General features: G+C 36.1%; 1 protein-coding gene across 20 annotated transcripts in view; it reads right to left on the minus strand.

Moving 5' to 3' along the window:
• The window catches only part of DMD (dystrophin), a 2,220,167-nt gene that overhangs the window by 812,234 nt on the left and 1,394,114 nt on the right, over positions 1-13,819 (minus strand). For all 20 annotated transcript variants that reach the window (XM_006724469.4, NM_000109.4, XM_011545467.2 and 17 more), the window contains 1 exon segment: positions 625-772. In XM_006724469.4, the coding sequence (XP_006724532.1) occupies positions 625-772 (148 nt within the window).

Here is a 13,819-nt window from a genome sequence, read left to right on the forward strand (position 1 = left end):
ACCAAATGGAATGTGAACCAACACCACGTCCCACACCCCCAGACAAATCAGCTAAAACAAAACATTGCTTCGGGGGAATATAATGCCTTTAAGTAGAGGCTGAAGTGGTGAGACTGATCTGGCAATCCAGATCTTCCCTAAGAAAATGGATTCTTCTTTTTAAAGACTCTTCTCAAATCTCCAGGTAGGTAACCAGGACAGATTAAAAAAGTGATTCCCATTTAGATTTAGATTTTATGATTCCACAATCTGGTCTTCAGTTTTTAAAATTATATGAAGTTGTGAAGTTCTCAAGTAAAATCTAAAATTAATTTCAAATCAAAGATAAAAACTGTGAATTATATACATTTAGACATATTGAATCTATACATCTATATGTGTAGATGTATAGATGCAATATGTGTGTGTGTATATATAAATACACACACACACATATATACATATGTTCTTATGTGCACTGGTTCAGAACTGCAGGGTTAAGAAGAAATAAAGTTGTGAGAAAAACACTTTAGCAAGGAACTATGAATAACCTAATGGGCAGAAAACCAATGATTGAATTAAAAAATAGATTCATATACTTCTTTATGCAAGCAGGCCCTGGGGGATTTGAGAAAATAAAATTACCTTGACTTGCTCAAGCTTTTCTTTTAGTTGCTGCTCTTTTCCAGGTTCAAGTGGGATACTAGCAATGTTATCTGCTTCCTCCAACCATAAAACAAATTCATTTAAATCTCTTTGAAATTCTGACAAGATATTCTTTTGTTCTTCTAGCCTGGAGAAAGAAGAATAAAATTGTTATTTTTTTTTCCAACATAGTTCTCAAACTATTTGTTAATGCAAACTGGGACACAAACATGGCAATTTAAAAATAAGCAATTTAAAAGATGTTAACCATACATAATTTAAGAAAATTCATTCACTTTGAACAAAGTAATTTCAATATTTCAAGAATCTCTAAATGATAAGAGATTAAAATCGAACAAGAAAAATTCTGATTCAAAAATTCCTGGCCAGGCGCAGTGGCTCATGCCTGTAACCCTAGCGCTTAGGGAGGCCGATGTGGGCGGATCACTTGAGGTCAGGAGTTTGCGACCAGCCTGGCAAATATGGTGAAACCCCGTCTACACTAAAAATACAAAAATTTGCCAGGTTTGGTGGCAGGCGCCTGTAATCCCAGCTACTAGGGAGGCTGAGGCAGGAGAATCACTTGAACGTGGAAGGCAGAGGCTGCAGTAAGCCGAGATCGTGCCACTGCACTCCACCCCGGGCAACAGAGAAAGACTCCATCTCAAATACATACATACATACGTACGTACATACATACATACATACATACATTAAAATGAATAAAATAAAAATTCTAACAACATTATGTCATTATATCTGAGCAAGGTTTCTCAACTTTAGCATTACTAACATTTAGGTTTGGAAAATTCTTTGCTGTGAGCAGCTATCCTCTGCATTGTAGGGTATTTAGCAGTATCCCTGGCCTGTTGAACACACTGGATACCAGTAGTAACACCTCGCCCCTGAGCTGTGACAACCAAATATGTTTCAAGGCACTGCCAAATATGCTGGGGGGTTGGGGGTGGGGACAAAATTGTCCCTGGTTGAGAACCAACTAAAGTAAGTATATAACCTAAAGTTACAAGTTTTAAAATGTTTAATTAAAGTATACTTATGGAAAATGAGAGGACAAAAATATAAACAAGGTTTTTGTTTTGTTTAAGTAGCAGCCATTTTATCTGCTTCTTATTCTGTGGGTCAAGGATTTGGATAGGGCTCAGTTGAGCAGTTCTGCTTTATGTGGCTTCAGCTTGGTTTAAAATAAAACACTAAATTATTACATGCTAAACTGTTTTCCGAATTATGACTCACAACCTTATTTGAGGAAAGAGAAAAACTGATTTAAAATACTTAACATATGTTGTACTCGTGGAAGTTTTAATTATGAAAATGCATATAACTCTATGCTAATTAGCCATAAATTTATTCTTACATATTCGATTGTAAGACAGCTGAACAAAATTGTTTGTGCTTAAAATAATTGAAAATTTTTTGTTTTGTTGTCTTTTGGGAACTATGTGTAGCTTCCATGGAAGCTTTTAACTGAAGTGTAATATACGTACAGGACACTGCACAATTTAACTGTATAGCCCAATAGTGTTTTAAAAATTGAACACACTGTACAACCAGAGAAGGAAATAGAATATTATCAGAATCTCAGAAATCTCCTCTTATCCCTTTGCAGTCACTGCCTCCAAGTATAACCAGTACCCTGTCAACTTTGATTATTTTGCCGGTACTGAATATTATGAAAATGGAATTGTATGGCTTTATACTCCTTTGTGTCTCGCCTTTTTCATTCAAAATTATGTTTACGATAATCCATGTTGCATATAATTTTAGTCTGTTCATTAACCTGGCTGTATAGCATTTAATTGTGTAAATATAGTACTTTAGATGGACATTTGTGATAATTCAGTTTTTTGAATGATTAGCTATTTTTTTTTTTTTGCTTCAAATTAACAAATGTGTATTGGGAGCTTACTACCTTCTAAGAGCTCAATTGGGCATTAGGATTAAAGATATATACGTTATATACCTTGTCTTGAGGATTTCATAGTCAATGAGAAGAAACAAGCATGTAAGCCAAGGATTATGATTAAGTATTATAGGAGGAGAAGTTATTTCTGGGGCAGTGCTTGGGAGACATCCCAGAGAAGATAATGATCTGAGTCTTGAAGCATGAAGATAGATCAGCATGTTGCAGGAATAAGACACAGCCTGTTCAAAGACAGGGCCTTGAGAGAACTACAGTTGCGATCATTCTGTAAATCAGAATCTGGTTATTGGACTTATGCTTGCATATATTCATTCAGTTTTCCTATATGATAAGAGCCTGTTCAAAGTCTGTTCTGGGACACGTAAAGTTACATTCTCCCCTCTGTCTATTCTCTTTTAAATTCATTTATACATTTATTCGCTTATTTTTACAAATGTTTATGATTTATTGTTTTTAATTTTTGTAGGGACATAGTAAGTGTATGTACTTGTAGGGTACGTGAGATATTTTGATACACGCATGCAATGAGAAATAAGCACATCCACTGTTCATTCCTGGGACACTGGGAGCAGGGTCTGTTTTTAACCTATCCCGAATATAACATCTGATCTAGAAGTACTTCTGCCTTATCTGACTGGGAAGATGAATGCTATTTACTTCAGCTGAGAGTATATTTTGTTGTCTCATATATTTTGGGGAAACTACTAGTTTAATAAATCAAGAGATCTGGAGCTCGGGGAGAGAGGAAAGCTGGAAATAAGGACTTTAGTCATTAGCAATCAGTTGGCAGAGAAAACACGGTAAACTAACTTTTGAACTAATAATTAACATTTCATGTTTGCTATTTTCTGAGTCCATTCTTTCTTCGTTTTATGAATTTTAATCATTGACAATTCTCTCTTATTTAAATTGAAAAATAGGAAAAGTCAATTTCAAAGCCTTTTGTTGATTTCTTATGTATGGTTAACCTTACGGTTCCTCCTCTTCTTCTACTCTATGTGCTTGGCCATGGAAAGCCAAAGGAATGCCTACGGTGCTCTTCTGGCCTCTCCAAAAGCTACACAGACCTGGGAAGGAGGTCTGCAGATTCCAAACATTCATTGAAGTGAGAGGATGCTTTTTCCTTCTTGGAGTCTACATACTTACTCTCAGTGATTCTCTCGAAGTCTCTACTTCTGACTCAGAGAGATGAAAGAGAAGGAACTGTCCCTTACCACAAACTGCACTCCCCACAAAGCTTACTACCCCTTCCTACCTGAGTCTTTTTAATCTTGCCTGGGACACGGAGTACAGAGGAGATTGGAAATTGCTTGGAATAGAGATAATAATCCCTGTTGCTTTAGAGTAAACCCTATGGGGAAGTGGCTGGTCTCGATTGCTGGCAGTTTGTTTTAGAATGTGGAACAGCACCATTTCCCCTCAGATTCTGACCTTAGAATCAATTGTGGAAGAAGAAAACGTCTAGTATAGTACAGGCATCCTTTATTTGTTTAAATGTTCCAAGCAGATTTAATTCCTTGGGTCTAGATTTTGAGGGTCTATCTCATCTTTTTCTCTCTCTCTGTTTCTACTCTGCAAATCATTGCCTCCATTACTATTTGACTCCAGATGATTTTGCACAGTGTTCTGAATACTTTTAGTTAAGTAAAATCTTGCTAAAATCTGATTACATTTGAAAAACCTAGACACATTGGCAAGGCTTTTAAACATTTTCAACTTTCATCTAGAAGCAGACACGTTTAAGGAAAAGAAAACCCCAAACCCCCCAAACAAACAAAAATTTAAGGAGCAGGAAAAAGTAATATCAAACCAAAAAAATAATAATAACCCTCAAGTTTAGAAAATTCTAAATCAAACACTCCCCTCTTTTCAAATATGTCTCAAATTATTTACTAGCATATTTTTTTCTATCAAGAATATCCAGTACAGAGGAGAGATGTTGTGCTTATTCATCATAGTTGAGATTTATATGTATTACTGGGTTCAAACCCTATATTGTATGCTTATTTTCTTCATTTATTATTCTACTATGTGTCTCTGTAGGTCATTAATTACGCTTTAAAAACTTGATTTTTTAAGATCCTAGTAATAAGATATATAGGGGTACCCTATATTTCACCATTATTGTGTTATTAGGAATTTTGTTTGCTTTCATTTTTTATTATAATGAATAACCCTACAATAAACACATTTATTTATACATTTTGAATCATGTATCTGCTGGAATGAGAATGAAAAGTTAACAATGGGAATCCTAAGGATTTAGATACACATTGTTGAATTTCTGTCAAGGTTGGTACTCAGAACACTCGTAAACTCCCACCAACAGTTACAAAATACTTGTCTCACTACACTTTTGCCACTATTGAGCATTATAATTGATATACCAATAAAACAAATAAAAAGCTTGCCATAGATATTTTAAGTATTCTACTAATAGGAAAGTTGAAAATGTTGTATGTGTGTACATGTTTGTCATTTATTTAGTTTCCACTGTCAATTATCGGCAATGTCTGTTGCCCATTTTTCCTGTGTTTTCCTATTTTTAAGAGCTCTTTTCACATTATCTGAAACATAGATTAATTGAGACTACGTTTCCAGCTTCCTTTTTGCCTTTTAGTAGTTTTTTCTAAATAAAATTTAACAGTTTATTTCTTTGATATTATGTTCATTGATAGTATCCTTAAAATTGTGGCCATTTTACCATTGTTCAGATATTCTCATTTATTCTTGATCCTTTACTCTTTCATTTGTTAAAAAAGAACAACCAAATATTTAATCCATCTTAAATTTATATAGTGTTGTTTCTAACCTTGAAGAGTTTTTCAGAAACTGATATTTTTTCCCCCAGCACCATCTCTTCTGAATTGATTTATGGTGCTTTCTTCATGATATTTTAAGTTTCTGCTTGTTGATCTACTGTAGATTTTTGTGACAGTAATGCACTATGTCAATTATTGCAGCTTTAAAATATGTTTAATTTCTGGTAGGTTAACCCGCTCTCCCACTTTAGTTATTCTAACTTATGTAATGTATCATTCAGTCAAATTATAAAACAATTCTCGCTGAAAATTTTTAAATGGGATTGCATTATATCAATAAGTTAATTTGTGAAGAATTACTGCCTTTCCAATATAATTCTGCTAAACTTTCTGTATTTACAGTGTTCTTGGACACAGAGTATCTGGGACTCAATGGGACACTATAAATAATTAAGTACATTTTATAATTAACCTTCAGCATCAATTTGAAAGACAGCATCTTGCATATGATTTTATGGATATTAACCATATACTAATTTAGAAAACTCTTAAGAACTCTCAGAATAAATCATCACTTAAACAGTAAAAGCTTTGGCTAAGCTTTTTGCTGTCTTTCTTTTTACACGATATTTGTGGAAAACTTTTTTTCCAGTGATTTAATTTTTTAAAAAAACAGCATCTTTTAAATATGAAAACATTTGGTAGTCATTTCTTATCTAGATTTTTTTTATACTTTGAAATATAAAAAAGATGGTGACAAAATCCCGTTGGGACCTTGTTATAATCTGCTTTTCCAAGCGCATGTGTTTTCTGAAATTTCAAAAGCCTCGATTTGAAGTTTTAAAAGCTGCAATTTGAATTTATGTATTCAGATGATTGCAGAAAAGCAAAGAAACACAGTTAGCATTTCCAGGCTTGTCTCTTGACAGAACAGTTTAAACGTGCTTCATATTGGCATTCATCACATGAAGTGTTATTTCTTTGTTTACCTACTTGCTTAATGCTTATGGGAGGATTTATTCAGACAAGTGGTAGTAATAATAATGAGTGAGATATTTAACATTACCCATCTGCAAATAAGTGCTAAATATTTTACTTTTAGAAGCATTTCAATACATTTAGACATTTAGCTTTTTTTAGAAAGAATGGCTTCTGTTTGAAATATTGGCTCTGTTACCATTTACATTACAAATGTTCCCAATGAAATTAAAGGAAGCACGTATTACGATGGTGAGAGATTTGCATAATCAGAAAGGAAGCGCTACTCATGTGTTGCTAAATTCAATGAATTTAACATTAACTCTTAATGAACATTTTCTGTCGGGCTACTCTTACGCTAAGAGGAATAGACTGCCAAATCACATGGCATGATTTTGGTGAGGGGATCTAACAAGTGTTTCAGGTAAAGTGCTAGATAGTTTCACAGTGGAATCTTTTAATATTCCATACATCCTTTGGATTGCCTTTTATATGCTTTCAATGAAGAAACTGAAGTTCTAGAGATTGATACATCACATACCCAAAGGTGACTATCCCATTTTCCAAATGAGAAGTCCCTCTCTCCAAGTTTTTTGATCACCTTTAACATAGAAACTTTAGAAAATGGAGATACAATGATCACCTGTTTACATATAATGTTTAATTCATTAATTTGATTGTGTGTACTACTTTAAAATTATATAGTACAAAATATTATGTCATTAGATCACACTTCTTCATTCATATTTCATGCAACAATTTTGTTCAAATTCTTCACAGGCACCTTCAACATTGAAATTTGCATCCTCATGGATGCACTTGTTGTTGCCTAACTCAGTTTTCCAGAGGGCATCATCTTTACTTACATCCATGTGGCCTGAGGTATAGTACTGCTGAATCTAGAGGTAATGTTTCACTAGGAATTTTACTGCAAGCCACAAGCACACATTTACATAACAGAATACAGTTTTATGTTATGTAAAGACAGCTTTATCTTTTTTCTGTGCCATATGTCCATGAGCTACACCATGTAACCACTTAATGAGTTACTTTTAACAGTATTCTTTCCATAGCTTGTTTACAATGGCATCCAACTCTTGCAATTGTGATGTCATACAACCAAAGTCAATCCCTAAACTGTGTTAAATTTATTTTCTCCCAGTGTGTGTGTGTCTGTGTGTGTGTGTTTTTGCCCTCCTCTATCAGGTTTACTTCTACAAGCCTCCAAAATAAGCATAAATTGAGAATAAGTCAAGGCAATACATCTTTCCCGGACAGTACTTTGTTGTTTTGATTGAAGTAAAATAAATGACCATCTTGTAATTTGAGAAACTTCAGAAGGATTCAAGTATAAGTTGACCCTTCCCGAGGGAAAACCAAAACAAAACATTGATTTCTACACACACCTAGTAACCTCCTCAGGCCATACCCTCCGTAGGTCATTATCAGAATCAGAACCCAAGCATCAACTTTATTTTTAAGCCAACATGTCTACCATACCTGGTTGGTGCTTGAGTTGTACAAGTAGACATTTGTTCATTTTCCCTAAAGTTTGTGTCTTGTCGGAATGAAGTGCTCCTGAGGGGGATAATATATCAAGATTTCTCAGTCATTTATGCCTCACTATTAAGGAAATGATTAGCAACTTTTGAGTAGATGTGGAAAACGATGAGGGAAAAACCTGAAGGTTAGCAATGCGAATATCTGTATGGAAAGTAAGTCCAAATCTAAATGCTGCCAGTTATCAGCTGAGTACGTGAACACGGGCGAGTTCCTTAATCTCTTTAGCCCTCAGTTTCCTCGTCTTAAAATTAGAACAATAAACATTTTAGAGTGTTGTGAGGATTAAAGTTTTTTTTGCAGAAACCCAAGATTTAGCCTAGTGCTTCACTAACAGCACTCAAAAAAAATGGTAGAGAACATAAAAGGAGGTACAAAAAAGGGAAAATATGGATACAGAGCTTTCTGTTTTAATCCTAGAATTGTGTCTAAGCCCACGTGCTTACATAGATAAAAGTATTTATAAAACATTATGAGTACACAGGAGGAGTACTCAAAATTGAACTTTTGATGAGCCACCTGACAACTTTATTTCTCCCTACTGACAAACTACCTTGACAAATTTTGCTGGGGAAAAAACAATAGAGAATTAATGTCAATCTATGAGTAAATGTGCCACCAGATGAGACTACTTCTAGGTGAAGCATATATGTAATCACAATGCAACAGCCATTTATTGAGGGTCTACTAGTGTCCATTGATATGGCCGTGAATATCGGCAGCAATCCCTGCCTCATGGACCTTACATCCGATTGGGAGGAAGGGGAGGCAGACAGTAAACAAGATAAAGAAATAAAATCTATAGATTGTGATACAGTAAGTGTTACAGAGGAAAAAAATGAAGCATGGAAAAGGGATGGAAATATTGAGGGGAAGATGGGGAGCAGTTGTGATTTTATAAAGGGTGATCATAGAAGGTTCCATGGAGAAGGAGACATTTGAGCAAAGTCCTCGTGGTAGGGACTGGCTAGCTGCTCATTAGACAAGTCTACTCATTTCTCTTAATTGTGCAGCTAGCTGTCATTTCCCAGTCTCCCTTGCCATTAGTTTGGCTACATGACTGAGTTCGAGCCAATGGAGTGTGAGCAAAAGTGATGCTCATGAATATGAAGCCTGGCTCATAACCCCACCTCCAATAACCACCACCACATATGTAATATTCCTTGTTCTTTTTCATTCTTATGTACAAGAGCACAGTGATTTTGAAATCCGTATGTTAAAGACATCAGAGCCACAAAAGCGAAGTGCCCTGGGCCCCCCTGATCCACCATTTGGAGGAAATCTACTTGTTGACCAGAAAATTTTTGTAAAGTTTGCATGAACGGAAAGTTTCTATTATGTTAAGCCACTGAGGTGTGGGCTTTTTTTTTTTTATAGCAGCTTTAATAAAGATAGGTAATATAGAAATAAAGAAGCGAGGGAGGAGGCCATGCAAATATTGCGGGAAAGAACGCCCTAAGCAGAGAAAACAAGTACAAAGGCCTTGAGGCAGGAGTGTAGTAAGAACGTCCTAAAAACAGCGAAGAAGTGAACAAGAAGTTCAGAAATGGAGTGAGGAAAGGAGATTACTAGATGTGGCCCAAAAGCCTTCTATTCAGAGATTCTATCTGGAATCTGAAGGCTTTTATAATCCCTATCCCACATCGAATTCAGTTTCTGGGTAAAAATAAATTATAGAGCAATATGTTTGGGAAATCTCAGACTGAACTGTGTTCTCCAATGCTACTTTAATAGATCCAATCAACTAACTGAGCCCTAGGACTTCCCCCCAGATTTTTGTGTGTGCTGTCTACACAGTTGCTGAAACAGGCTTCGGGAAAATCTGAGGATGCTTTGGATCTTCATCTGTCAGAGGCAGAGTTACATCACCTATCAGTAAAGCCTGTCACAAAGCCATTACCATCCGATAGAAAATGCAATTAAGAGGGTATGACTTCAAACCGTTTTTTCTGATTTGAATCCCAGTTCAGTTTTTCCCTTCGCAGACATTCAAACACCATCATCTTCCTGCCTAAACGTGCTCCTCTGTCAAGTTCAATGGATGACTCCACCAGCTCCCGGTTTTTTAAGCTGAAAGTGTAGAAGTCATCCTTGATTCTTCTCTCTCCCTCACTCCCAGAGCGTATCAATAAGCATGTCCTCATAAGTCCACTTGAGAAATCTCTCTTGAATCTGCCCACTTCTCTCCATCCTCCTGTCGCTGTCTCCTTCGCTCCTTCTCATTCTGATTTCAACTTTTATTTTTGATCCAGGTAGTATACGTACAGGTTTGTTACCTGAGTATGTTGTGTGATGCCAAGGTTTAGGGTAAAAATGATCCCACCACACACAGGTAGTGAGCATAGTACCCGATAGGTAGTTTTTCAACCCTTGCCCCTCTCCTTCCTCCCCCTTCTAGTAGTCCCCAATGTCTATTGTTTTCACCTTTATAATGAGTACCCAATGTTTAGCTTCTAACTATCTTCGGTTTTCTGTTCCTGCATTAATTCACTTAGGATAATGACCTCCAGCTGCATCCATGTTCCTACAAAAGGCGTGACTGTATGCTTTTTATGACTGTGTAGTATTCCATGGTGCATGTATACCACGTTTATTTCATTCAATCCACCACTGGTGGGCACCTAGGTTGATTCCATGTCTTTGTTACTGTATAGTGCTGCGACGAACATGTGAGTACATGTGTCTCTTTGGTAGAAAGATTCGTGTTCTTTTAAATATATACCAAGTAATGAGATTGCTGGGTTGAATGGCAGCTCTCTTTTAAGTTCTTTGAGAAATTTTCAAACTGCTCTCCACAGTGCCTAAACTCATTTACATTCCCATAAACAGTGTATAAGCATTCCCTTTTCTCTGAAGCCTCACCATCATCTGTTGTTTTTTGACTTTTTAATAATAGCCATTCTGTTCTGATTTCTAACAGCCTCTCTGAGACTGCTTTCTAATTAGCTCGTGCCTCCTACCTTGTCTCCTTCTTATCCACTCTTTACACTTCAGAATAAGAGATCTTTCTAAAATATGTTGCTGATCATGTCCTCATATACTCAACAACATCCTAGTGCCAATGGGATAAAATATAACTTCTCTAACATGGTCAAAAAGCCCTTTGTGATCTGGTCTCTACTTCTATTTCTTCATCTTTCTTTGCACTGTATAGTTCATGGAACAACTTACTCTTCCTTAAAATCCAGCACTATATCCATATCAGGATTCATCATACAATGTTCCCTCTGCCTGGGATGTCCTTCCATACATCTTCATCTAGGTAGCTCCAGGTTGACCTTTCCAATCTCAGGTTAGACATCACTTCCTCTACAAAGCTTTCCTTGATTAATTAGACATCCCCAACCCAGGTATAGGTCACAGGTCCTGTTATGTAGTCCCACAGCCCCTCATAATGTTTCCATCACAGGAAATACTGTAATTTCCCATGTTCATCAAACTATTGCAGATTTTCTATCTATTGTGATCGCACCCTATCCTCAGTACTTAGCATATAGTATTTGCTTAGTTCCTATATTAATAATCTCCTAATGACATCATCTTAATTGTATATCTCCAAGTAATAACATTATTTCATAGTAGTCTGGGGAGATTTTCCATGAAGAACAAAGTGTGTGTGTATGGGAGGCAGGTTCTGTATAAAATTAACGAAATTCAACCAGGGAAAGCTATACAGCAAGTGTTTGTAAACTATGGCTCATGAACCAAGTTGTGCTCACCACCTGTTTTTGTAAATAAAGTTTTACTGGAACAGAGCTACACTCATTCATTTACATATTGTCTATGGTTACTTTCATGCTACAATAGCAGAGTTGAGTAGTTGCAGCAAAGATTGAATGGCCCACAAAGCCAAAGGCATTTAGTATCTGGCACTTTACTCAAGTTTACCACCATCTGCTATGTGATAAATCTCCTTCTTAGACATCTACTAGGGAATTAAAGATACGAGAGTTCTGATATAAGAAAATCTGTATAATCTCTATAAACCAGTGGTATGCGAAGTCATGAAAATATCTATGATAATTAGAACTACTCCTCACCCCTTGAAACAATCATGAGCACTTTACACAATTATTATTTCACAGGACAAATAGAAAAACTAGACATTGCATCTGATTATAAACATTAATTCTGTTTAAATTCACGAACATTTCCAACTATGAGAAACTATATCTACTTACCTTAGAATCAAACATGGAAAATAGTCAAAAGACCTATGCCTCTGCCTCACTTTTCTTGTCTTGGCTTTTACATTATGCCAGTTTCTTTATATTTCTCTTTCTTCCTAACCCACAACCAACTTTATCATTTATTTTATAATTTCACCTCTTTTTTGTTACTCAGTTTTATAATTTCACCTCCTATTTTGTTACTCAATTTTTTTCCCCTCTGGGCTTTATGGTGATTTTTATTACTGTGTCTGTATTTTGAATTCCTCGTGGTAGTAATTCTTTCCACCCCCAGAAAAAATGTCATCTGTTTTCTCAAACTATGTATGTTTCCAGTGGAATATGAATACATTATATAGAGACGGAAACCCGAAGTTCCCCAGAGAGTGAGAGAGAGAGAGAGAGAGAGAGAGAGAGAGAGAGAGAGAGAGAGAGAGAAAAGGGAACATTTTGATCATCACTTTCATACTCGAGCAGAAAGGCAAAGGGTATTTCCGTTTCACTTATTTAAACTCTGCACATAATTGCAGCTAAGTTCCTCAGAAACAGAGGTTACTATTCTTTAAAAGAATATAGCCACAGGAGGTACAAAAATAGTTATATTCCCTGAAACAGTATTTCCTTAAATGTGGTCTGGGGACCCCTGGGAGTCCCTGAGACCCATGCAGTGGTTCTGTGAGGTCCAAATTATTTTCGTAATAATACTAAGATGTTATTTGACTTTTTCCTCTCTCATTCTATTATGAGTTTTTCAGAGGCTACATGATGCGAGATATGACAGCACATTCAATGCAGAAACAGATATAAGAACCAGCTGCCTTCTCTTAAGCTAACTTTTAAAGAGATTTGCAAAAATGTAAAACAAGATCACTCTTCTCACTATATTGTTTCTGTTGTAGAAGAGATAGTTTAAAAACTAAACATTTATTTTTTATTTCAACATGCAATTTTAAAATGAATTAATAAGTAAATATTTTGAACAATTACCACTTTTTTTTTTTTTTTTGAGACGGAGTCTCACTCTGTCGCCCGGCTGGAGTGCAGTGGTGCGATCTCGGCTCACTGCAACCTCTGCCTCCCGGGTTCGAGCAATTCTTCTGCTTCAGCCTCCCGAGTAGCTGGGACTACAGGCGCCCGCCACCACTCCTGTTTGTTTGTTTTGTTTTGTTCTGCTTTTTTTTTTTTTTTTTTGTATTTTTAACAGAGACAGGGTTTCACCATGTTCACCAGGATGGTCTCGATCTCTTGACCTCGTGATCCGCCCGCCTCGGCCTCCCAGAGTGCTGGGATTACAGGCGTGAGGCACCGCGCCTGGCCAAGATAATTTTTTTTGTAGAAAAATAATATGTCCTTGTCAACTGGCATAAGTAATGACAGCTTATCATGCATGCCGAGTTTGTCATTATAAAGACCTCAGACAAGTAAATAATACAATGTAAAATGAAAATTGAAATAATCCATTAGGTATGAAGAAATCCACCACAAACATTCCAGTTGGAGTTCAGAAATTTGCCAATGAATTTATTAGAGACAGAGGGAGGTGAATAATGTAGGCCAATGACTATGAGGGTCAACTTTTAGAGTTAATGAACTGCCTAAATATTTACTGGGAATCTCTGTGATATGCTAGGCTAAGTAGGGCACCTTCAAATGATATACACACTGCTCACTTACAGATTATATTTCACTGAGGCAAGCTCGCCTGTCATTAACTTACTGTATTTTATCAACAAATATTTGAGCATCTACCACATACCAGGTACTGATTTTGCTACTTGATGAGG

Source organism: Homo sapiens, chromosome X (genome assembly GCF_000001405.40).
Source record: "Homo sapiens chromosome X, GRCh38.p14 Primary Assembly".
Classification (NCBI taxonomy): domain Eukaryota; kingdom Metazoa; phylum Chordata; class Mammalia; order Primates; family Hominidae; genus Homo; species Homo sapiens.